This window comes from Homo sapiens, chromosome 1 (assembly GCF_000001405.40).
Source record: "Homo sapiens chromosome 1, GRCh38.p14 Primary Assembly".
Lineage (NCBI taxonomy): Eukaryota > Metazoa > Chordata > Mammalia > Primates > Hominidae > Homo > Homo sapiens.
The window spans coordinates 65,144,104-65,168,981 of record NC_000001.11 but is presented as its reverse complement, the minus strand read 5'-3'; the positions used below and the strand labels follow the sequence as shown (position 1 = coordinate 65,168,981).

The window sequence follows — 24,878 nt, the reverse complement described above, 5'->3', positions numbered from 1 at the left end:
CTGGTCTCAGAAGTCCTGGCCTCAAGTGGTCCTCCCACCTCAGCCTGCCAAAGAGCTGGGATTACAGCCATGGGCCACTACACCTGGCCTAGGCTAAGTGTTATTTCCACCATGCTACCAGCATTTTTGTCCTGCCATTAATTTTAGATAGCCATCTTATTCTTCAGCATAAGCCAAGGGAGAAAATCTCTGGCCCAACTCAAAGGACAGGACTACAGATTTGAGTAACCTGGAGTAGCTGGTACGTTCTGAAACGGCCCTGGTATGCACCCTCAAATATGGTAGGTAGGCTTTTATGAGGCTGAGCTACAGTGTGCCCTGCAGGACAATGTTCAGAAATACTTTCCAAATAATGTGTTTATTTAGAAAGAGAATAGAATATGGAGAGCAGGCCAGATGTGGTGGCTCATGCCTATAATCCCAGTACTTTGGGAGCCTGACGGGGGAGGATCACCTGAGGCCAGGAGTTCAAGACCCACCTAGATAACATAACAGAGACCCTCATCTTTACAAAAACAAACAAAAAGAATATGCAGGGCCAGGCACAGTGGCTCACACCTGTAATCCCAGCACTTTGGGAGGCCAAGGCGGGTAAATCACCTGAGGTCAGGAGTTCAAGACCAGACTTACCAACATGGTGAAACCTCGTCTCTACTAAAAATACAAAATTAGCTGGGCATGGTGACACATGCTTGCAAGCCCAGCTACTTGGGAGGCTGAGGCAGGAGAATAGCTTGAACCCGGGAGGCGGAGTTGCAATAAGCTGAGGTCGCACCATTGCACTCCAGCCTGGGCAACAAGAGCAAAACTCTGTCTCAAAAAAAAAAAAAAAAAAAGAATATGCAGAGTAACCTACTAAAGCTACAGTGGTTCTACCACACTTAACCAGTTGTTAGTGGTGGTCATTGCAGTTTAAAAGGGTCATGGTGAAAGGCTGAAAAAGAATTAGAAATGATATGGGAAGAATGGTAGAGAGAACTGGGGCTATTTTTCTTGGGGAAAAAAAGACAACTTAAGTCAGAGAAGTGCTGCCTAGCAACTATTTTCAATTATCTGAAGAGCTAGCGGATTTAATTTATGTGACAACAAAAGACTGAAGTTGGACAAATGGATGACAGTTTATGGATGACAGTTTCAAGGGGCTGGCTTTCATCTCAGTATAAGGGGAAAAAAAATCTTCCAACAATTAGACCTGTCCAGCAATGAAAGAGCCTGTTTCCAGAGAAGGCGAGTTAGCTGTCAGCTGCTATAGAATGGATCCAGCACAGAATGGCCACTTGGATAGAATGACTAAAAATCCCTTCCAATTCTAAGACATTAAGAAATGGAACAAATCATTAAAATTAACACATTCATTGTTATGCATAGTGTTTAGTCTCTAAGAACCCTAGAAAACCAAAACAGAACTGAGCTCCACGGAAAGGAGATCTTGCATTTTTTTTGTGCTCCAAGCTAGATCCTTGATCTTTTTTTTTTTTTAAACTAAGCCACTAAAGTAATACAAGTGTAAAAAAAAAAAAATCTATCTCCCTTTTGGAAAAACTAAATTATGTCCTGAGACAGTATTTATAGTTACCATTTAAGAAAACTGGGAAACTGTACTCATATATGCAATCAATATTTTATAGCTCTCTTGTAGACTACATTGGCTGTTCTACCAGTTATGCAGAAGAAAAAATATAGAAGCAGCTGAGTTCAAAAAACAAAGCAGACCAGAAGTTGAATCAGATATATCAGCAGCCCAGCATATTAAAAGATCCTGAAAAAAAATCCATCCGATTAGACCTACAGGAAAACTTAGAAAACTGCCCCTCTTAACAATGACATAATTTGTTTCTATTTTTGTTTTTTGAGAGAGTCTTTCTCTGTCACCCAGGCTGGAGGTGCAGTGGTGTGATCTTGGCTCACTACAACTTCCGCCTTTCAGGTTCAAGTGATTTTCCTGCCTCAGCCCTCTGAGTAGCTGAGACTACAGGCACAAGCCACCACACCTAGCTAATCTTTGTATTTTTAGTAGAGACAGGGTTTCACCATGTTGGCCAGGCTGGTCTCAAACTCCTGACCTCAAGTGATCCGCCCGCCTTGGCCTTCCAAAGTGCTGGGATTACAGGAGTGAGCCACTGCACTGGCCAAGATGACACAATTCTTAAAAAGCAAGTATGGCCAGCCCCAGTGGCTCACATCTGTAATCCCAACACTGTGGGAGGCCAAAGTGGGAGAACTGCTTGAGTCCAGGAGTTCAAGACCAGCCTGGGCAACATAGTGAGACCCCCGTCTTCAAAAGAACTTTAAAATTGGTGGTGTGGTGTTGAGCACCTGTAGTCCTGGCTACATGGGAAACGGAGGTGGGAGGATTGCTAGAGTCTGGGAGGTTGAAGCTGCGGTGAGCCTTGATCACACCACTGTACTCCTCCAGCCTGGGAGATAAAGCAAGACTATTTCAAAAAAAATTTAAAAAGCAATTATGGATTCAAGGAGTCTTCCAAATGAGGAACACACATAACTTTAATGCAAATATTTTTGTTTGGACAAGACTGAACACAAGAGAAGTCCAAGGGAAAATAGAAGGACAGCACAACTAATAGGGGGTTTACAAACAGTGAGCAAGTGTAGCCTCTGCTGGGTGGTAAACACACACACACACACACACACACACACACACACACACACAGCTTAAATCCCACTGGATTGTGCTTCCATTCAAAGCACCACATTCACTAAGGAAGATTATAAATGAAATCAAAGCATTAGGACTCCAGAAAAGAAGGGAACAAACAATAGAGAAAAGCCTCCTACTTGCCAGGCATTTTACACAGACGACCCCATCTGACCCTCAGGAATCAAGTTTAATTAACTTCCCCCAAAGTTTACAAAGCCAGTAAAAGGTGGAGGCAGAGTTATGCCTGCCTCTAAAGCCCACCTATATTTTCTCTACAGCATATAGCCAACTCCCTGTGCCTACCACTTGCTGTGCCGAAGGCCACCAGATACCTCCACCTGAAACTTCTCACAGGTATGTTAAGCTCATTATCCTCTTCATGCCTGGACTGCCCTCCTTGTGTTAAATGGGACTACTTTCCTGGCACAGTCATTCAAGTTCACCCCTTCAAAGGGCAGCACTTGGCTCTGCCCCGCCCACCATTCTCCTACAGTCCTATCAGACACTGCCATCACTACCCCCACTCCTCTCACTTCCCCTTTTATCCATTACTGTTACCCTAGACCGCATCTAAACTGTTGTGGCACCATCTTGGCTGTGCTCCAGTTTTCCCCCACTACAATCCACATCATACTCTGCTACGAGTAACAGCCACCAAAAGGAGTTTGAGGAACTCAATCTGGAATTACATGTAAGCTCCAACTCTACATATAATTCCTCCAACTCTAGATTTCAATGAAGGTTCCTTTTTTTTTTTTTTTCCAGACATGGGATCTCCCTGTGTTGCCTAGACTGGAACGCAGTGGCTATTCACAGGCAGGATCATCATGCACTACAGCCTTGAACTCCTGAGCTCAAGTGATCCTCCTGCCTCAGCCTCCCAAGTAGCTGGGACAAAAGGTGTGGTGTGTGTCATCTCACCTCACAAAGTTCCCTTAATTTTAATTGTCTACTCATAGACATGATACCTACATCAAAAATACCCTGCTTTCACATGTTTCCACCTGCTACTCATCCTTCAAGGCTCGGTTCTAATGCCATCTTTCCCAAAGCCCTCTAACTCTTTTGTCCAGAGGTATAACAAACAACTATTAAGCAAGGTATGTTAGACACTAGAGATTTTTTAAATGAACTTAATAAAAGTTCATACAAGTAACTCTTCTCTCTACTGTTCTTAAAAAAGTGTTTTCATTCCTATTTTTATAGCACTCAATATAATTTGCTTTATAAAATAATTGAGTATATTTTTATCTTGTAAATTGTTGAAGGTAGAGACCATTTCTTACTCTGATTAACAAAATGCTTTTGGAATAGACTGATTTTACAAGTGCTTAATAAGTTTAAAGTCTACCCATTTGTCTGTCAATACTGACAGCCTCTTAACTGTTCTCCCTAGTTTCACTCTAGAACCTTCAACCCCAGTTTCCAAATAGCCTGAGTGATCTATTCAAAATGTGAGTCAGATGTCAGTCCCATGTTTAAAAACAATGGCTACACTGTGGATTAGGCAATGGTGTTTTAGCTATGACACCAAAAGCATAAGCAACAAAAGAAAAAATAGATCATCTGGACTTCATCAAAATCAAAAACTTGTGCTTCCAAGGGAGCCATCAAGGAAGTGAAACAGGATAGGAGAAAATATTTGTAAATCATATATCTGATAAGTGACTTGTATCCAGAATATATAAAGAATTCAACAAGAAGACAAATGAGCCAATTTTAAAATGGGCAAAGGATTTGAATGGAATTTCTCCAAAGAAGATATATGCAAATGGTCAGTAAGCATATGAAAAGAAGTTCAGCATTATTAGTCCTCAGAGAAATACAAATCAAAGCCACAATGAAACACCACTTTATACTCAATAGGGTAGCTAAAATTGAAAGAGAGAGAAAGGTAGGGAGGGAGGGGTGGTTAAAGCAAACTAAATATGACCTGAGAAGGACTCCATACTTCAGTATTTGAGTCCTTGTGAAACCGCCTTTGCAAAATTATAACTGAGGAAATTATGACAGTGAAAGAAATCAGACCTAACCGACTCCATCTTGCTTCTAACCTTGAAGCTGCCCTTGTTCATTCCTGGGTGTAGGCCAAACTAACTTTGGGAGGGAATTCAGTACATGGGTTTGACTCTGAAACAAAATTGATTAACAGCCCTTTCCCGAAAAGACCCCTTCTTGCCTGGGGACCAGTCTGCCTTTGCAGGACTAACAAATTAGCTACAAGATTAGAAATTACAGTTTAGGGGTCATGCAGCCTCTGGCTCCAAGAGTCCAAACCTCCCCAAATTGCTCCTGGGGATAACATCACTCTGTAAAATCTAAGATCAGTTCTTGAGATATTTTGCAGATCCTGCACTCACTGGATCAGCTGACACCACCCAGACCCATAATCTGGCTCAACAAGTTCTGCCATCCCACCCAAGGACAGAAGACAGCAAGAAAACCTCACTTCCACCCCCTATGATTCCATCTCCAACCTGACTAATCAGCACTCCCCACTTCCCAAGCCCCACCCACCAAATTATCTTTAAAAACTCTGATCCTTGAATGCTCAAGGAGATTGATTTGAGTAATAATAAAACGCCAGTCTCCCGTACAGCCAGCTCTACGTGGATTACTCTTTCTCCATTGCAATTCCTGTCTTGATAAATCCGCTCTGTCTAGGCAGCAGGCAAGGTGAGCCCATCGGGAGGTTACACTTGTGGACAAACTGCAACCTGGCTTAGGTAGATAAGACTAAAAACCTAATTTAGGAGTATGTGACTATAACAATAGCTGAGTCTTGGCCAATACCAGTGGCCATACTTCAACCACTCATACACTGCTGAGTGTTCAAACTGTGTTCAAATAAGGCAAATGCCGAGCTGTAACCAATCCAGCCATTCTGTATCTCACTTCCGATTTCTGTAGTCATTTCTCTTTTTTTGTCTATAAATCTTCTTCCACCATGTGGCTGTACTGGAGTCTCTGTGAATTTGCTGTGATTCTGAGGGCTGCCCGATTCGTGAATCATTCATTGCTCAATTAAACTTGGCTGAAGTTTTTCTTTTATCAGAAGGTAAAAGTTGACGATGAGAAGAAACGAACCTTCATTCATTGCTAGTGGGAAGGTAAAATGATGCAGCTGCTTTGGATAACAGGCACTTCCACAAACTATTAAACGTCGAGTTACCAAATGAACCTGTATTGCTATCCTTAGGTATATACCCAAGAGAAATGAACATTTACATCCATACAAAAACTTACATACAAATGTCCCATAGCAGGAAACAGCCCAAGTGTCCATTAAGGAATGAATGGGTAAACAAAATGTGGTATACCCATTCAATAAATTATTTGGCAATAAAAATGAATAAAGTACTGATACACACTACAATATAGATAAACCTTGAAAACATGCTAAGCAGCCAGACACAAAAAGTCACATATATTAACATACAACTATCCAGAATAGGCAAATCCATACAAACAGAACTAGAGTAGTAACTGCCTAGGGCTGGGGCAAGGGGGAAATGGGGAGTGACTGCTAATGGGTATAGGGTTTCTTTCTGGAGAAATGAAAATGTTCTGAAATTAGATAGTGGTGATCGTTTTACAACTCTGTAAAATATAGGAAAACCTCTGATTTTTACACTTTTTTTTTTTGTAGAGTTGGTGTTTCACCGTGTTAGCCGGGATGGTCTCAATATCCTGACCTTGTGATCTGCCCGCCTCAGCCTCCCAAAGTGCTGGGATTACAGGTGTGTGCCACTGCGCCCGGCCCTGAGTTGTACACTTTTAAAGAATAAATTTTACTGTATGCAAATTTTATATTCAGTATAGCTGTTACGTATAAAAAATAAAAGTAACAACCTGAAAACCTTCCATGGATTCTCATCCAGTTACAATGAAGCCCAAACTCCTGGCCATGCCTCAAGGCCCTATACCTACCTTTCCAGCCTCCGCTTCTACCATCTCCTCCCCACTTACAGTGCTCAAGATACAAGCCTCCTCCCGCATCCTCTCCACTTACTGAGAGTTCACTCCTATATTAGGCTCTTTCCACATACTGCTTCCTCTGCCTCAAATCTTCTTGTTTAAGACACTTCTCACTGTATCGCCCAGGCTAGAGTGCGGTGGTGTGACCATAGCTCACTGCAGCCTCCACCTCCTGGGCACAAGTGATCCACCTCAGCCTCCCAGTAGCTGGGACTACAGGCCTGCACCACCACGTCCAGCTAACTTTATTTTTATTTTCTATAGAGACGGGGTCTCACTCTGTTACCCAGGCTGGTCTCAAACTCCTAGCCTCAAGCAATCCTTCTGCCTCGGCCTCTCAAAGTGCTGGGATTACAGGTGTGAACCACCGTGCCCGGCCTGCTACCAAATCTTCACACGCCTGACTCCTACCCTTATTCAGAGCTCAGCTTAAATATTACCTCCTCAAAGAGGCCTCTAACGCCACAATCTCAAGTAGTCTTCCCACTCTTCCTCACTGTACTATCTCATTTTCTTTAGAGTACTTCCAGAAGATATCAGGTACAAGGCATAAGGTATATGAGGTGTCTTATTTTTTTCTGTCTCCTCTCCTCTCGTTATAGCCTATTAAAACATTAGTTGAACTGAACCGTCATGAAAAAAAATTACTATTCAAATGGCAACAGACAATAACTGAAATTATGAAATAGAACATCTTACAAGAGATAATGAATAACAAATTAAAGGTACCAATGGGTATGAGAGAATTTTAGAGAAGAAAATGACCTGTAGCTGCAACAGGTGTGGAAAGGCTTCATGGAAGCAATGAGAGTAGAAATGGACTTCGAGAGATTAAAGAAGTGTGAAAGGCATTACAGGCAAAAGGTACATGTGAACAAAGCACTCCTTGCTGCCTTGTCTATGACCCCCATGCTCTACCTGCATGCATGCGCACCGCCATGCCTCCTGGGAACGTAATGTAGAACTCAGAGCTCAAACCCTAGACTGTCGGTACCTCAAAGACAGAGAACAAGTTTTACTTTTTTGCACGCCTCCCCATACCTAATGCTGGGACATGTGACAAATGGGACAAATGAATAATAAAATAACACCAAGTTCAGGCATTATTCCTGAACTCTTACCATTATGATGAAAAGCAATTTCTACCTCCTCACAACCAAATGGCTTCTATTTTTGACCCCCTTTGGTCCTTTTGATCATGGGAGGAGGAAGTCAGTGCTTCCTTTTTTAGGTTTTTTAAAAAAAAATGTTTTAGGGACAGAACAACAACAACAAAAAGTACATCCCTCTATCCTACCCTTAAAGGGCCTTCTGAGCCTCAGCATACTTGTTCCCTGCTATCCATGGTGCTAGGGTCTGAACGTGCCCCCCAGATTCATATGCTGAAACTTAATAACCAATGTGATAGTATTAAGAGGTGGGGCCTTTAAGTGGTCATAAGGGCTCCTCCCCTGCAGTGTGGTGGCTCACACCTGTAATTCCAGCATTTTGAGAAGCCGATGCAGGCAGATCACTTGAGGCCAGAAATGCAAGACCAGCCTGGGCAATATAGTGAGACCTTGTCTCTACCAAAAATTTAAAAATTAGCCAGGTGTGGTGGCATGCGCCTGTAGTCCCTGCTACTCTGGAGGATGAGACAGGAGTACTGCTTGAGCCCAGGAGTTCCAGGCTGCAGTGAGCCAATATTGCACCACTCCACTCTAGCCTGAGCAACAGAGCAAGACCTCATCTCCAAAAAAAAACTTAATTTATTGTTTTTGTGTTTTTGTTTTAAGTCTTGTGTCTTATAAAAGAGGCTTCATCACCTTGGGAGTCTGAGGCAGGAGAACTGCTTGAGTATAGGAGCTTAAAACCAGCCTGGCCAATAAAGTGAGACCCTGTCTCTAGTGGAAAATTTTTAAAATTAGAAAAAATAAAATCAAAGAAGCTTAATGTGGCCTTTAGCCCTTTTCCTCCTCCATCCTTTCTGCCATGTGAGAATACAAAGTTCAAGGTGCAACCTTGGAAGCAGTCAACAGGCCTTATTAGACACCAAACCTGCCAGCACCTTCATCTTGGAATTCCCAGCCTCCAGAACAGTGAGAAATACATTTCTGTTGTTTATAAATTACTTGATCTCAGGTATTTTGTTATAGCCACACAAACAGACTAAGACACACTGTCCCTACATGGCATTTATAAGACATGAGTATTTCACTAGTTTCTAGAGTACTCAGATGTCAGCACGACATAATGGGAAGAAGTTTAATCCTAGCTATGGAGCCCCAGGTTTGAACGCTAGTTTCTCTTTAACTAGCTGTTTGACTTAGGACAAGTTACTCAACCTTTCTGAAGCCACATATTTGTCACTCAACTTTTTTTTTTTTTTTTTTTTTGGAGACATAGTCTCGGCGCTGTTGCCCAGGCTGGAATGCAGTGGCACGATCTTGGCTCACTACAACCTCCGCCTCCTGGGTTCAAGCGATTCTTGTACCTCAGCCTCTCGAGTAGCTGGGACTACAGGCGCACACCACCATGCCCAGCTAATTTTTGTATTTTTAGTAGAGACGGGGTTTCACCATATTGGCCAGGCTGGTCTCGAATTCCTGACCTTGTGATCCACCTGCCTGGGCCTCCCAAAGTGCTGGGATTACAGGCATGAGCCACCACGCCCGGCCAACTTTTTTTCTTTTTGAGAAGGTTTTCGCTCTGTTGCCCAGACTGGGGTGCAGTGGCTCAAACACAGCTCACTGTAGCCTCACTATAGACTCACTGTAGCCTCCTGGACTCAGGCAATCCTCCCACCTCAGTCTCCCAAGTAGCTGGGATTACAGGCATGCGCCACCACTCTGGCTAACTCTGTTTATTTTTTGTAGAGACAGGGTCTTGCCATGTTGCCCAGGCTGGTCTCTAACTCCTGGGCTCAAGTGATCCATCCGCCTTGGCCTCCCAAAGTGCTGGGTTACAGGCGTGAGCCACTGTACCTGACCAAGTTAGTTACTCAACCTTTCTGAGGCCATTTATTTATTTGTAAAGCAAATGATATAACAAAAACTGCTCTGGAGATCTGTGTGGGAATTAGAGATAATTTGCATTCATTAGTCAGTCCAGGGCCTGGCAGTTGCTTCGCCCCCTGCAAATGTTGGTTATGACCAAGTCACAAGAATTATAAAATGCCAGGGTTACAGGTTACTGCTGCCCAGACAGAAGGTGCTGAAGATCAGAAAATAGTTGATTTCTAGCTTCTTGGAAGTTAGATGATAAACAAGAATGACTCTGCATTATTTCAGTATTATCTGTCTGGCTAAGTAAGGGATGCTTGCTCCTGGATCTGTTGTTTAACTAGTACAAAAACTCTCAGAACTTAGAGGTGAGACTGTTAAAATATAACATCAGCCATTTAAATTCAACTACATGAAGCTGTACAAACAAGACCTTTTGTACTATGTCTTAAAGGCCAACCTGAGAGCTTAAACATCAAGTGGAGGGGGTAAAATACACAGAGTAATCCAAAAGCCTCTATTATCTACTCATGCTTTTTTAAAAAAAATCTAGTTTGGGCCGGGTGCAGTGGCTCACACCTGTAATCCCAGCACTTTGGGAGGCCTAGGCAGGTGGATCACCTGAGGTCAGGAGTTCAAGACCAGCCTGGCGAACATGGTGAAACCCCGTCTCCACTAAAAATGCAAAAAAAAAATTTAGCAGGTCATGGTGGCAGGAGCCTGTAGTCCCAGCTACTCGGGAGGCTGAGGCACAAGAATCGCTTGAACCCAGGAGGCAGAGGTTGCAGTGAGCCAAGATCACACCACTGCACTTCGGCCTGGGCAACAGACTGAGGCTCCGCCTCAAAGAAAAAAAAAATCTAGTTTGCTAAAGGAAAATACATGGTTGAAATATCTGATTCATTGTCCATTGTGAAAGTACATCATCTAAAAAACTTACAAAATTTCCAACTCCTTAAACCTTCTCACAATATGCACCAATACAGATTGTTAAAGAGCAGACTAGCATAATATAATACCATTTAACAATTTACTTGGTAGATTTTGAAGGGAACAGGTAATTCAACATGCCTTTCAGAATGGGTGAATTTATAGTTAACAGCTTGAAGCCCAATTTACTAGTTTTAGGATTGTTTGCCATCCTTCAGTTCCAGAAGTTAAAAGCCGAAGTTTAAATGCATATACTACAATGCCACTATGTGTATGTATATCTTAAAGGCAAGCACAAGCAATGAGGGCTGGAAAGGTGATATGGGGCAGGCATGATAACCCTTTCCTTTGACAATATCATTAGAGATGGATGCGGACTAAAATGATAATAGAAAAGGTAAGGCCAAGCCATAAAAGCAAGGACCTCTTGTGGACCATAAACAAACTCTACAAGAGGAGTTTCAGGTATGCTGTGACAATGACCATGCCATCTTTTTGTAGCTGTACTCATTTGTCAAAACTCAGCTCAGGAATCGCCTCCTCTAAAAAGCCTTCCCAAATCTCACCTCCTCCTAAATGCTGGGTTAGCTGCCTCTTCTGTAAGCATGCACATCTTGCAGCCTCAGTTAATTTTTTTTTTTCTCAGAGACAGGGTCTTGCTCTGTTGCCCAGGCTGGAGTGCAGTGGCATGATCACAGATCACTTCAACCTCAACCTCTTGGGCTCAAGTGATCCTCCCACCTCAACCTCCCGAGTAGCTGAGACTACAGGTGTGTAAAACCACACCCAGCTAATTTTCTTACATTATTTTTAGTAAAGATGAGGTCTCGCTACGTTATCCAAGCTGGTCTTGGACACTTGGTCTCTAGCAATCCTCCAGCCTCAGCCTCCCAAAGTGCTGGGATTACAAACATGAACCACCACACCCAGCCCAATTGTGTTATTTTCTTCTTGTTTGCTTGCCTGTCTGACTGCCTGCCTCCACCAAAAAACAGCAGCTCCTTCAGGAACAGACCTTGTTTCACCTCTTTGCATCCCACAAGCCAAGATTGCCTGGCACTCAAACATTTGTTGAAAGACACATTTACCAGGACATTCAGTGCAGCATGCTCTGTATATCGAATGACTATAAATAACCTGAATTCCAATCAACAGGGGACTGATTAAATTGTGGTCCCAGGACTCCTGTGAGTCCATGAGACCTTTTCAGGGGTCCATGAGTTCCCCTTTAATTACATGTGTATAAAGCCAGATGTTCTTCAAATACTTTAACCAAAACAACATAGCACCAAAGACTGAATGAAGAACCAGATATGACAATAAAGTTTTCTTCTATTAGGCCAGAAAGATTTGCAAATGTGCAAAAATAACAGTACTTTTCTCATTAGATTTCATTTTGGAAAATAGTTAATTTTCACAGAAATCTGTTAACATACAGTGGATTATTGTTATTTTGATGAATTAATATTTTTAAATTTTCTCAATTTTCTTTCTTTTTTTTTTTTTTTGAGACACAGTCTCGCCCTGTCGTCCAGGCTGGAGTGCAGTGGGGCAATCTTGGCTCACTGCAACCTCCGCCTCCCGGGTTCAAGCAATTCTCAAGTAAATCTCAGCCTCCAGAGTAGCTGAGATTACAGGCATGTGCCACCACGCCCGGCTAATTTTTGTATTTTTAGTAGAGACGGGGTTTCACCATGTTCGTCAGGCTGGTCTCAAACTCCTGACCTCATGATCTGCCCGCCTCAGCCTCCCAAAGTGCTGGGATTACAGGCATGAGCCACCGAGCCCGGCAAATTTTCTAAATTTTAATTTCAAATCCATTTAACATCTATATATGTAACCCACATAAACAAAGCTTCTTTGGTTCTCAATTTTCAAACGTGTTAAAAAGGACCTGAGGCCAAAATGTAAGAGAAAGGCTAAATAAACTATGATATATCTGTACAATAAAAAATAATGCAGATATCTTTTTAAAAGAATAAAGTAAACTGATACATGCTGATGGAAACCACTATCTAAGCTTTACTGCTAAGTTTTTCTTAAGTGCAATACAAAGAACAAATGTGTACATTAAAAAAAAGAGGCACTGCTATACACACATAAATGCTATAGATATATGACAAAATCTTTGGATACACATCCAAAAAAAGTTAAAAGCAGATACCCCTGTGGAGAGAAACTGGGGAACCAAGAGTCAGGGATAGGCATGAAACTTTCCACTCTATTCCTAGTGTATTATTTGAAAATTTTACTATCTGCATGTACCTTTTTACCTTTTCAAAAGTAAAAATGGAATAACAAATTATATTTGAATATTGGAATTATACATGAGTACTTAACTCACATTAAAAAACAGTATTTAACAAAATTGGAAAATACTAGATGACACATTGTTAAAGCAATTTTCAAAACAGTAATACTATAATACAATGCAATAATAATGTAACTCAAAATCTATGTGTGTGTGTGTGGAAGGTGGCTCATGCCTGTAATCCCAGCACTTTGGGAAGCCAAGGCGGGCAGATCACTTGAGGTCAGGAGTTCGAGACCAGCCTGGCCAATACGGTGAAACCGTCTCTACTAAAAATACAAAAAATTAAGCCAGGCATGGTGGCAAGTGCCTATAATCCCAGCTACTTGGGAGGCTGAGGCAGGAGAATCACTTGAACCCGGGAGGTGGAGGTTGCAGCGAGCCAAGAGCCGAGAACACGCCACTGCACTCTAGCCTAGGCGACAGAGCAAGGCTAGACTCCATCTAAAGCAAAACTCCATCTAAAAAAAAAAAAAAAGTATTAGCAGTGACTTTTCCTTCCAGTTGGTAAATTACAAGTGATTGTTTTCATCTTTATAAACTTTTGCTAACTTATACATATTATTTCTATAATCAGAAAATCAGTTTATATGTATGCTACATATATCCATACCTAAATAAAATATTTTTCATTTTTTTATTTACTTTCTGAGACAGAGTCTTGCTCTGCCGTCCAGGATGGAGTACAGTGGCGCAATCTCAGCTCACTGCAACCTCTGCCTCCTGGATTCAAGCGATTGTCCTGCCTCAGCCTCTTAAGTAGCTGGGACTATAGGCACACGCCACCAAGCCCAGCTAATTTTTGTATTTTTAGTAGAGCCAGAATTTTGCCATGTTGGCCAGGCTGGTCTCGAACTCCTGGCCTAAATGAAACATTTATTAAGCCAAAAAGTACACAAATAAAGTAGCACCTATAAACTACCAAGAACTTGAGTGAATATTTGTAAGCTACGTTTAAAACGCTCCCTATGTCGGCCGGGTGTGGTGGCTCACACCTGTAATCCCAGCACTTTGGGAGGCCGAGGCAGGTGGATCACCTAGGTCAGGAGTTCGAGACCAGCCTGGCCAACATGGTGAAACCCCGTCTCTATTAAAAATACAAAAATTAGCTGGGCATGGTGGTGGGCGCCTGTAATCCCAGCTACTTGGGAAGCTGAGTCAGGAGAATTGCTTGAACCTGGGAGGCAGAGGTTGCAGTGAGCCAAAATAGCGCCACTGCACTCCAGCCTGGATGACAAGAGCAAGACTACGTCTTAAAAAAAAAAAAAAATTCTCCCTATGATTTAAGTTCTATTTTGGCCAGTAGTTTCATTCCTAGAAACCTATCCCAGAGAAAGTATATCTGTCCAGTGATTTGTACACAATGACATTTGTAAGAGCGTTCTTTGTTTGAATGTTTATTTTATGTACAAAGAACTATCGTGGTTTTGTATTGGGTAGATGCCTTGGATAATCCTTTGAAGGAGGATCATTTAGTCCAACTTAATAAAACTGATATCGTTCGCGTACTGACGGAAACACTGGCAGCACGTATTGAGGCCACATTTCTGGATCAGACAGTGCCGGTTTGAACAGACGCGACAAGAGCGAGAACCCTGGCTGAATTTTCAGCAGTGGCTCCAGTACAGCTGCTGGTGACCCATCTTGCTGTCAGGAGTGCAACAAGATAAAAGGAAGGAGCTAGCCCATGCATGTGCTCTTCCAAGGGCATTCTTAATCAGCAAAGTATGCAAATAACCCAAATGTTCCACAAAAGATTGGTTAGACACATTCTAGTTCATTCAACCCTATAGCACATTCACCCAGGCAGGCGCTCAGGGCAAAACCCTAGGATTCATTGTAGACTTCTTTCTCTCCATCACCTCTCACAACCAATTCATTATATCCAGTCAGCTCTGCCTTCATATATATCCCAAATCCCTTTATTTCTCTCCTCCTTTGCCACCAACAAGTTCAAACCACAGGCCACTCTCCTCATCCATACTGGTCTCCCTCTTGCTCACCTGAGTCACCTCTCCACACAGCAGGCAAAAGATCAACTTTTAGAAAGTAAATCTTTTCATGTCATTGTCCTATGGAAAACCCTTCCTTGGCTTTCCAGTGCCCTTGGAATAAAATCCAATCCTTACCAGGATCCCCCAGGCTCTACCTGATCTGGCACCTGCTCGTCTCTCTGACCTGACCTACTTCCACATCCCTTCTACTTGCTAGGCTCCAAACATACTGCCACTTCTTTCTGTTCCTCAGACACGCTATGCTAATTCCCACCTTAGGGCCTTTGCACTTGCTGTTCCTTCTTCCTGGAACAACCTGTTCCTAATCATCACAAGCTCATTGTTTACGGTATGAATGAGGACATTCACCTCCTGGAGAGGCCTTCCCTAATCACACAACCTAAGACAGTCACCTTTAATTTATTTGCTTAAATTACCCTTAAGGAATTAAGGGTAACTTTTACTTGCTGCTTTCATTTCTTCTACCGTTTTATATTTTCTAAATTTTGTACAAGGCATGACTTTGATCAGAAAAAACTACTTCTAAAAAATGATCCTGGCCAGGCATGGTGACTCACACCTGTAATCTCAGCATTTTGGGAGGCCGAGGCGGGCAGACTGCCTGAACTAAGGGGTTCAAGACCAGCCTGGGCAACACGTAGAAACCCTAACTCTACCAAAAAAATACGAAATTATCCGGGCATGGTGGTGCATGCCTGTAGCCCCAGCTACTTAAGGGGCTGAGGTAAGACAATCACTTGAGCCCGGGAAATCAAGGCCACAGTAAGCCGTGTTCATGCCACTGCACTCCAGCCTAGGTCACAGAGTGAAACTATGTCTCAAAAAGAAGAAGAAAAAAAATCCCACTGGAAGAATGTGCAAAGATTCAGATGTACATGTGGCTAAGGCAGACTTACTGTCATGGAATGCCTTATTCAAGTCACAAATAGTGTTCTTCAAATATGTGTGAAAATCCTCAAAGAAACCAAAAAAGCAACAATAAGTGGATATGGAGTGGACCTTTGGACTGGAGAGGTCTCAAAACCAGTCAGACCCTTGCTTGACCTGTGCTACATCCTGAGTCTCACCCAGCTAGGGGGGGAAATGGAATAGAACATACTCTAGAAACCCTGTAATAAGCCAAGACTCTGTATGATCTATAAAAAGGATAACTATTGAAACCTGTTTTAGATACATTGTTGAACTCTGGCTCCCAAGTCTCTCTAATACAATGTTTCTATCTTCCAGTTCTCAGAAGTTTTCCCTCTTACATAAGACACACATTTATACTTAATGAGCACCAAAAAGAACCCTGAGCCCTCTGAACTAGGCCATCTTTTCAAAAAGAGGCTGGGCCCATAGACTAACTTGAAATGCTAGTCCCATCAGCAAAACTCCAGCAAGAGCTGCAGTTAATATTGAGAAGCAGAGGCCAGGTGCGGTGGCTCACGCCTGTAATCCCAGCACTTTGGGAGGCCGAGGCAGGCAGATCATGAGGTCAGGAGTTCAAGACCAGCCTGGCCAAATGGTGAAACCCCATCTCCACCAAAAATACAAAAATAGCCACACGTGGTGGTGTGTGCCTGTAGTCCCAGCTACTCGGGAGGCTGAGGCAGAAGAATCGCTTGAACCTGGGAGGCGGAGGCTGCAGTGAGCCGAGACTGTGCCACTGCACTCCGGCCTGGGTGACAGAGTGAGACTCCGGCTCAAAAAAAAAAAAAAAAAAAAAAAAAAAAAAAAAAAATATATATATATATATATATATATAGAGAGAGAGAGAGAGAGAGAGAGAGAGAGAGAGAGAGAGAGAGATAGCAAGTGCAGAAACAGGTTTGTTCCTTAACATCTTTTATCTCAATTAACTCCAAGATGCTTCCAAATGGAGATGTGCCAGTTTTCCTGCACTTGAGATAGTAGATCCAGTATAATGTGGTTTTAAAAAATACCACTATTTCTCCAACCTTTAAAACAGGATTTGCATATCCTTTAGATATGACCCAATAAAAGAATCTATCATTAAATATCAGAATTTGTTCAGAGTTTGTAGTAGGACTCACTCAATAGAGTGCCAGTCCCTGTGTGTGTGTGTATACTCATACATACATGTGCATACCCATACATACACAGAGAAAAGCTAATATTTCTTACAACAGAGGGTAAGACCCAACTCCTGGCAATCTAAGAGAACTCTCCCTTCTATTTACTCTTGCAGTGTGCTAAAGAAAATCTGAGCCAAAGATATGGGTGTGACTCTTCAAATGAGGTATCTGATAAGCCTCAGCCTGTACCACTCTAGGCAGTGTAGGAAGGGCCAATGGGTGACAGCTACCATGAAGCTAATCTCAGATCCATATTAAGCACAAACTTTTACCATAAATCAGAGCTAATTAAACAAAATGGTCTCTATGCTATAGGTTGCTTGACTTCTGGACTAAGATGTACTGTCTAGAATTTGTGACCCAGGCCTTTAATACAGACTCGGTAAGCTCCTTTTATACATTAGGTACTTTGCCTGATCCCTGTCCTCCAAGTTTCAGAGTGGAAATTGTACAATGGTATAGGCAGAAAGAACAAAAGGCCCAAGAATGGGCCAGGTGCAGTGGCTCACACCTGTAATCCCAACATTTTGGGAGACTGAGCCAAGAGTTTGAGACCAGCCTGGGCACTAAAGCAAAACCCCTATCTATAAATAATAATAAAAGAGGCACAAGATTATCTTAATGCTATTGCCCCCAGCACCTAGAACATTGACGCACAGCAGCCACTCAGCAGATATCTTACTGGGTGTGAGACAGGCATTTTTACACTGCATGATATATGACTGCAACATTAGAATCAATAAGACATGTGCAGAGGAGAGGAGGTCAGGTGCGGTGGCTCACATTTGTAATCCCAGCACTTTGGGAGGCCAAGACGGGTGGATCATCTAAGGTCCCGAGTTCGCGACCAGCCTGACCTCGAACCTTCGTAGAGATGGTGAAACCCTATCTCTACGAAAAATACAAAAATTAGCCGGGCGTGGTGGCAGACGCCTGTAATCCCAGCTACTTGGGAGGCTGAAGCAAGAGAATCGCTTGAACCCGGGAGGCAGAGGTTGCAGCGAGCCGAGATAGCGCCACTGAACTCCGGTGTGGGTGACAGAACGAGACTCGTCTCAAAAAAAAAAAGTTATGTGCAGAGGAAAGAGATGAATTCTGCCAGAGCAGGTGAGGGAAGACTTCCAAGAAGCAATGACATCAGAATGGCCCTTTCCTGAAAGAGCAGCTTTTCACCAGGCTGCAGGAGGAGGAAAGCCATGTAGACAAGAGTGTGCCCAAATCCAGGCTGGAGCAGATGGCCGGAGCTACTTTCCAATTCAAATTCCTACACGGTTCTATTTCCTGGGTTTTTGTTGTGCTTCATCGTCTCCTTCAAACCTTCCATTATAAAGGGTACATACAGAAGGGTGGTTGTGTTTCCCACCAGGAAATCAGCTAAAAGCAAACAGCAGGTAACAGACAGAAAAATAAATACCGTGGAAAGGAATGTTTTATTTACCAGGCAGTAAGCCTATAAGATTCTCAGACCTTCTGAGAGGGAAAAATAATCCGATAACCCGAAAGTTCACTAGAAACAAGCCACTTTCAAAACAAATTGCTGTCCTTTATTTTTCTTCTTTCTTTGATAAAGTTTTTTTTTTAATTGGCTCATGCAAAAAGCTGCTTGATTCCCAACAGAAAAAAGAAAATCTAAACATTTCATAGTCATTTCTCACTCCAGGGAGGATCACTGGGGAGGAAATGAAGGCATTTGAAAGAGAATGAAAACTAAAATTTAGAACACAGGAAAGTTAAAAAAAAAAAAGAGAGAGAGAGAGAAAGAGAGAACAAGGGAAAAGAGCAAATGGAAAATTTTCAAAGCCCCTAAGAAAGTGCAGAAATAAGCTACTTCCCATCACACTCTCTTTAAACATGGAAAGGGCTATGAGTCCAGTCCCAGGATGGACAGTGTGAAGCCCTTCATTCCAGAAGGAAACAAGTCACCAAGTAAGGTACAGAGAATTATGGAATGGGCTCATAGAAGGAAACAAGTCTCCTAGTCAGGTACAGAGAATTATGGAATGGGCTCATCTCTTCTCACTGTCTTCCTTCACTGACTCCATGCCCCTACCATGAAGAAGCCCAACCTAAACACAAAACCATTAGGATGAGAGCCAGCCTTCCCCCTCAGGCCGCTCTCCCCTCAAACCGCAGCATTTCAAGAATAAAATGCATGTGAATGTATTAAAATCAAAATAGGCGCACTTGAGGTAACAATACCCACAACAGAAAACTCAAGTGCAATCTGGTACACATAATTCTTCCTTTTGAGACATGGGGGTGGGGGAAGAGTTTCCTGTAAAAGTCCGCTTTTTCAATCTGCTTAAGAGATAAGGAATACAATTCTGGAGATACTTCTTAATTCCTTGCTTTTAAGCTTTCCTTTTGTTTTCTGGTACTGTCCTCCACCTTCCTTTTCAAGCCAGTCTGTGCTTCTGAAATGCAGATCTCCGGATAATTAGTCCATGATGGGCAATAACCAGCCCGGACATCCTTGAGAAGTACATCGACAGTAAAGGACCCCTGCTGGGAAGAACAACTTTTCATAAAGGAGTTGCTAATTACCAGCATCTCCATCCCAGAAGGGTTAAGAGCCTCGCAGCAGCACAACCGCTACCTCTCGCCTTTTAACGCCAATTCTTTCGGAACTGGTGTGAACGTGGAGTGGGAGGAGAGGGGGAAAGGGACGCACTCAACCCCGTCAGACTAAGAAATCAGGCGATCTATATATCCCCAAGTTCACCACGCCAGCCAAAGGAGGCATCTCATGCCAAGGGAGGCAGCTCAAGAAGCCATTTCCAGGAAAGCTGCATTACAAAATGTAATTTATCAGAACGAGTCTCCTCCGAGTCTCCTGACGGCCAGGCCCGGCGGCTTCGGGAGGGGGGGGAGTTGCTGGGGAGAGTTTACCTTAGAAGGCGACAACGAACAGACAGGCCTTTCAAAGCCACCCAGGGCTCTGCCCCGAGGCCCGAGGCTGCGTGGAGGGGCTGGAGAGGCGCGAGGCTGCGAGCCCCCCGGCGCCACAGGTTCCCCGGCGCGCGGCCCCGCCCGACTGCCACAGGTGGGCGGCGCTCCGCCTCTGGGCTCCCGCGGGAGGGGGCGCGCGGCTCTCTAGGGACTCGGGGGAGGGGGCCAGGGCTAAGGGGTACGGGGACGGCTCTGCCTTAAGGAGGGCAGCGTGAGACGGAAGCTCCGGGTTTTCCCTGCCTAGTTCTCGTTCCCTCGGCCGGGTGGCTCGGGCTATTCCTCGCGACAGGAGGAGCGGTGGAGAGGAGCCGTGGGCACCTCCCACCGGCCGCCCCTGGAGCCTCGGCCTCCTCCCCAGGCGCGGTTAAGCCGCGCGGCCGCCAGCTGCATGCGCCCCGGCACGTACGAGCCTGCACGACCACACGCGGGCGGGGGAAGGGCGCCGTGATCCGGGAGCCCCAGTCCCTCCAGGGCCTCACCCCAGCCCAACGCGGCTCGCCCCCGGCCCTCGTCCCCGCAGCCCCTCACCGGTGCTGGCCTTGATGTTCTCCCGCAAGAAGTGGCCGCTGGAGAGATGCTGGAGACCAAAGTTCTGGGCGATCCTCTGGCACACGGTGCCCTTGCCCGAGCCGGGCGGCCCGAGGATGACCGCGCGCAGGAGTTTGGAAGCCATTGCCTTCGCGAGGAGGGGGGCGGTCAAACGCGCAGCCCCGACCGCGGCCCCGGAGGAAGCCCCGGGAACTTTGTTTCTCGGCCCCCTACCTCTGGCACCCTCCGCTCTCACTGGGACTCGCCGGCCGCCCCTACAGGGGGAAGGAGAGACTTTTAAGACAACCCCTCCCCTCAGCCCAGCGCCGGGACCGAGTAGCAGGCGGACTGAGCGCCACGCTACACCTCCCCGCCCTTCTCCACCTCCTCGCCCTCCTCCACCTCCTCGCCCCCACGCAAAGCTGCTGAAGCGCGCCGTGCCCCGCCCTGCCGACTCGGCCTCCAGGGGTCAGAGGTCGGCCCGGCCAGTCCCACCTTCATCCTTAACTCCAGCTCGCTCCCCACGCCGCGTCCGAGAAGGGGGCCGGGCGGCCAGGCATCCCCAAGCCAGTCTCCGCCGAGCCGGGGAAGCTGGCACAAGCGGGGGTGACTCAAAGCCAGCCCCCGCCGCCCCACGCACCGGGCGGCCTAGGGGCTGAGCCCCTGCCCGGTCCTCGCACGTGGGCAACGTGTGGTCTGCGTCTCGTCCCCTCCCCGGCGGCTGTCACATCCCCCGGAGTCTCAGCTGCCGCCGCTGCCCGCCGCCCGCGCGCGCTCGGAGGGGCCCACCTCCGCCCGGGGTTGGCGGATGCGCTCCCCGGCCATGGGGCGCGCGACGAGCCCGAGCCCCGCGCCTCGCCACCAAAAGCAATCAAATAAACACACACCTTGGCTGGAGGCAGCACTCCGAGAGGCTTCCAGCCCGGATCCTGCAGGGCGGCGCCGCCTCCGCCCGCCCAGTCGCGGAGCCCCGGCCGGCCGCGCGGGACTCGCGCCTTACGTAAGCCCGGGAGACCGGCTCCGCGCGAGCCGCTGGCCGCCGCCCCCTCCCCTCCACTCCACTCCACTCCCACCCAGCCTGCCTGGCCCACGTGCTCCCTGCGACCCAGCGAGGGCTGCGGGGGCGAAGCGAGGTGCAGACCACGCGAGGTAGAGAAACCCCTTTTTTTCTTTCGCGGTCGCCTGGGGACCGCGGTCTACTGCAAGGGAAGGGAAAAATACAACTTGTTGAGCGCCTACTGTGCGCCAAGTTTGCGGCTAGGTGATTTCATTGTGTTTACAGCCGAGGAATGGAGCGTGACCATTCATTCATTGATTCATTCTGCAAATGTTTATTGAGTGCCTACTGTGTGCCAGAAACTATTCTAGGCGCTTAGGATCTAGCCGTGAACAACAGATCGAATCCTGCTCTCAAGAAATTGCGTCCTAGCGGGAGGCTGGAACCCAAGACTGACTGACTCCAAAGTCTAGGCGCCTTAGGGAACAGGGAAGAAGGGGATGTCCCTCACCTGTGTTCAGGACCTTCTTGGTAAATGATTCCAGGACTTCCATGCGCATTATGCTGGTGCTGCACCTATAACTCACCAAGTCCAAATGGAGTCTGTCTTCCCCCACTCCACCCTCCCCTGCATATCCCAATCCACATTCTGTTAGATCTGTGCCCACCTTACACACAGCCTTTAATTTCCCACCCCAACTAGTGGGATAAGTGCCCATAAGACTCCAGTTTCTGTGCCATTCCATTTTCCGTGCAGCTGCCAGGAATACTGATAAAGTGAAAATCAATATTTATTATTTCCCGGCCTCAGATATTGTCTTCCCTTCAGGATAAAGTGAAAAATCTTCAGCAGGGGCGCAGAGATGCCTTCCGTACACCTTTGCATTCTGCAGGCCCCCTCCTCTGCCTTCCTTCCACAGGCCACCTGCCTTCAGGAAATCTGTTGCAGAGTTCCCAGCACCAATACCCAGGACTCAGAGAAGGTGAGGGACACAAGTAGTGGGATGGTGTGGAGAAGAACCCCCTCTCAGCTCTTTGATTGGGGTTGGTGGAGGGCAGGGCCTGGCATAGTTTCCTGACACCCAGCGCCTCTCCCCACTGCTTACTCCACGCACAAAATTGGCCAGACAGCACACCCAGGCCACCAGCCCCAGGCCAGCATTTGTTCCATAGACTGATCTCCCTCTAAAATGTCTCAGTGTGGCCGGGCGCTGTGGCTCACACCCGTAATCCCAGCACTTTGGGAGGCCAAGGCAGACGGATCACTTGAGGCCAGGAGTATGAGACCAGCCTGTCTAACATGGTGAAACTCCGTCTCTACTAAAAATAGAATGATTAGCCAGGTGTGGTGGTGCACGCCTGTAATCCCAACTACTCCAGAGGCTGAGGCAAGAGAATCACTTGAACCTGGGAGGTGGAGGTTGCAGTGAGCTGAGATCACGCCACTGCACTCCAGCCTCGGAAACAGGGCGAGACTCTGTCTCAAATAAATGATAAATAAATAAATAAATAAATAAATCTCAGTGTGCTGTAGACCTGATACTGAGCCCCTTCAAACCTTTTCTGGGAACAAAGAGGAAGAACTTGCGGGTCTGGGGGTGGGGGTATATGTGTATAATATGTAGCAGATACTTCTTTGGAGTGGCTCTCAGAAGTGAGCATGCATCAGAATCACCTGGAAGGCATGTTGAAACGTGTTGCTGAGCTCCCCCTGCATAGTGCCACGCACGTCCATGTGAAGAGACCACCAAACAGGCTTTGTGTGAGCAATAAGGCTGTTTATTTTACCTGGGTGCCGGCGGGCTGAGTCCGAAAAGAGAGTCAGGAAAGGGTGGTGGGATTATCATTAGTTCTTATAGATTTTCGGATAGGCGGTGGAGTTAGGAGCAGTGTTTTGCGGGCAGCGGGTGGATCTCACAAAGTACATTCTCAAGGGTAAGGAGAATTACAAAGTACATTGATCAGTTAGGGTGGGGCAGAAACAAATCACAGTGGTGGAATGTCATCAGTTAAGGCTATTTTCACTTTTGTGGATCTTCAGTTGCTTCAGGCCATCTGGATGTATACGTGCAGGTCACAGGGGATATGATGGCTTAGCTTGGGCTAGAGGCCTGACACACAGAATCTGATTCAGTGGATTGAAGGTGGGCATTTCCATCAAGTTCCCAGGTGATGCTGAGGTTGCTGATCTGGAGACCACACCTTGAAAACCACTGCCATAGTGAACAGAGCATTGAGACACAAGATGTGTGGTGTCCTGATTCCTCTGCCAATGTATGACCTTTGGCCCTTAACCTCTACTTTGTAAAATGAGGAGGTTGGATTTAGTACATCCTGAAGATTCCTTCATATCTATTAAGAATTGACTGTAACTTTCCACAGGAAATATGGCTTTTAGCCCGCACAGACTAGCTATCCTATAGCCCTACCTTACCCTACCACCTAGTTCTTTTGTCTACTTTTGAAATGTCTTTACCAACATTACCTTATAGTGTCATGGAACAGTGCTAGCCACCCACATGATTCTAGGACTTTATGCTTTTAGGAGTATAAATTATTAAACAAAGAGTTGTGACACACATTAGAGAAACCAAGATTGGAACCTCGCATTTCACAAAAGAGCCCTCAATGGACCATCCCAGTGCATGGCCATCTCATGGTCCCTCAGCTCAGCTGCTGCTGACTTGGAAGTGAAGCAGAAGATGAAGAAACAGACTTTGGAGTCCAACACACCTGAGATCAAATTGCAACAGCACCATTCACTAACTGCAAATTTCATGATCTCTGTGAGCCTTAGTTTATCTGTAAAAGGAAAATAATACCTCAGAGTCTTGTGGTGAAGCTTAAATGGAGATCATGTATATAAAGGACTCAGTACAGGGCTGGGCATACAATAAGTATTCAGTCGTAAACATCATCATCACCAGTATTAATCATGGGTCAATTATTTAGCCTCTCTAAACCCAGTTCCTGAATGGTGAGAAATAAATGAGATAATACAACAAAGCACCTAGTCAGTTCCCTGGCACTTTTTTTTTTTTTTTTTTTTTGAGATGGAGTCTTGCTCTGTCGCCCAGGCTGGAATACAGTGGCACGATCTCAGCTCACTGCAAGCTCCGCCTCCTGGGTTCACGCCATTCTCCTGCCTCAGCCTCTTGAGTAGCTGGGACTACAGGCACCTGCCACCACGCCTGGCTAATCTTTTGTATTTTTTTAGTAGAGACGGGGTTTCACCGTGTTAGCCAGGATGGTCTCGATCTCCTGACCTTGTGATCCGCCCGCCTCGGCCTCCCAAAGTGCTGGGATTACAGGTGTGAGCCACCGTGCCCAGCCTAATGATAGCCATTCTTATCATATACATACACTCAGGTAATTAACTTCTTCCTATTTCCTTTGTCTAGGGTTTTTAACCCATTTGTAATACTTATCACAGTCTTTGAGTTATTACACAA

The 24,878-nt window shown here is 45.5% G+C and overlaps 1 protein-coding gene and 1 pseudogene across 6 annotated transcripts in view, besides 9 other annotated features; both read right to left on the bottom strand.

Annotated features, from left to right (window-relative positions):
* The window catches only part of AK4 (adenylate kinase 4), an 84,594-nt gene extending 63,164 nt beyond the window's left edge, over positions 1 to 21,430 (bottom strand). The window contains exons 1-2 of one of the 6 annotated variants that reach the window (NM_203464.3): positions 21,317 to 21,430; positions 20,430 to 20,704 (exon numbers count right to left, since the gene is read on the bottom strand). In NM_203464.3, the coding sequence (NP_982289.1) occupies positions 20,430 to 20,574 (145 nt within the window). In that variant the 5' untranslated portion in view covers positions 20,575 to 20,704; positions 21,317 to 21,430. Of the gene's footprint in view, positions 1 to 2,962; positions 3,071 to 19,841; positions 19,989 to 20,429; positions 20,780 to 20,924; positions 21,130 to 21,316 lie in introns of those variants that run through there. The other 5 variants (NM_001005353.3, XM_017000613.2, NM_013410.4 and 2 more) reach the window with 5 other exon arrangements.
* Positions 14,252 to 14,536, bottom strand: RPS29P7 (ribosomal protein S29 pseudogene 7; annotated as a pseudogene).
* Positions 14,957 to 15,458: an enhancer, noted in NCBI's record as "NANOG hESC enhancer chr1:65619207-65619708 (GRCh37/hg19 assembly coordinates)". NCBI's record gives its function as "activates a minimal SCP1, AML or CMV promoter by ChIP-STARR-seq in naive H9 embryonic stem cells {active_cell/tissue: H9 hESC(naive)}" and the evidence as "EXISTENCE:reporter gene assay evidence [ECO:0000049][PMID:30033119]".
* Positions 17,172 to 17,221: an enhancer, noted in NCBI's record as "active region_1141". NCBI's record gives its function as "activates an Ori minimal core promoter by ATAC-STARR-seq in GM12878 lymphoblastoid cells {active_cell/tissue: GM12878}" and the evidence as "EXISTENCE:reporter gene assay evidence [ECO:0000049][PMID:35858748]".
* Positions 18,812 to 19,530: an enhancer, noted in NCBI's record as "OCT4-NANOG-H3K27ac hESC enhancer chr1:65615135-65615853 (GRCh37/hg19 assembly coordinates)". NCBI's record gives its function as "activates a minimal SCP1, AML or CMV promoter by ChIP-STARR-seq in naive and primed H9 embryonic stem cells {active_cell/tissue: H9 hESC(naive and primed)}" and the evidence as "EXISTENCE:reporter gene assay evidence [ECO:0000049][PMID:30033119]".
* Positions 19,531 to 20,249: an enhancer, noted in NCBI's record as "OCT4-NANOG-H3K27ac hESC enhancer chr1:65614416-65615134 (GRCh37/hg19 assembly coordinates)". NCBI's record gives its function as "activates a minimal SCP1, AML or CMV promoter by ChIP-STARR-seq in naive H9 embryonic stem cells {active_cell/tissue: H9 hESC(naive)}" and the evidence as "EXISTENCE:reporter gene assay evidence [ECO:0000049][PMID:30033119]".
* Positions 19,531 to 20,482: a biological region, named in NCBI's record as "OCT4-NANOG-H3K27ac hESC enhancer GRCh37_chr1:65614416-65615134".
* Positions 19,843 to 20,122: a silencer, noted in NCBI's record as "silent region_967". NCBI's record gives its function as "represses an Ori minimal core promoter by ATAC-STARR-seq in GM12878 lymphoblastoid cells {active_cell/tissue: GM12878}" and the evidence as "EXISTENCE:reporter gene assay evidence [ECO:0000049][PMID:35858748]".
* Positions 20,183 to 20,482: a silencer, noted in NCBI's record as "silent region_966". NCBI's record gives its function as "represses an Ori minimal core promoter by ATAC-STARR-seq in GM12878 lymphoblastoid cells {active_cell/tissue: GM12878}" and the evidence as "EXISTENCE:reporter gene assay evidence [ECO:0000049][PMID:35858748]".
* Positions 20,863 to 21,362: a silencer, noted in NCBI's record as "silent region_965". NCBI's record gives its function as "represses an Ori minimal core promoter by ATAC-STARR-seq in GM12878 lymphoblastoid cells {active_cell/tissue: GM12878}" and the evidence as "EXISTENCE:reporter gene assay evidence [ECO:0000049][PMID:35858748]".
* Positions 21,373 to 21,612: a silencer, noted in NCBI's record as "silent region_964". NCBI's record gives its function as "represses an Ori minimal core promoter by ATAC-STARR-seq in GM12878 lymphoblastoid cells {active_cell/tissue: GM12878}" and the evidence as "EXISTENCE:reporter gene assay evidence [ECO:0000049][PMID:35858748]".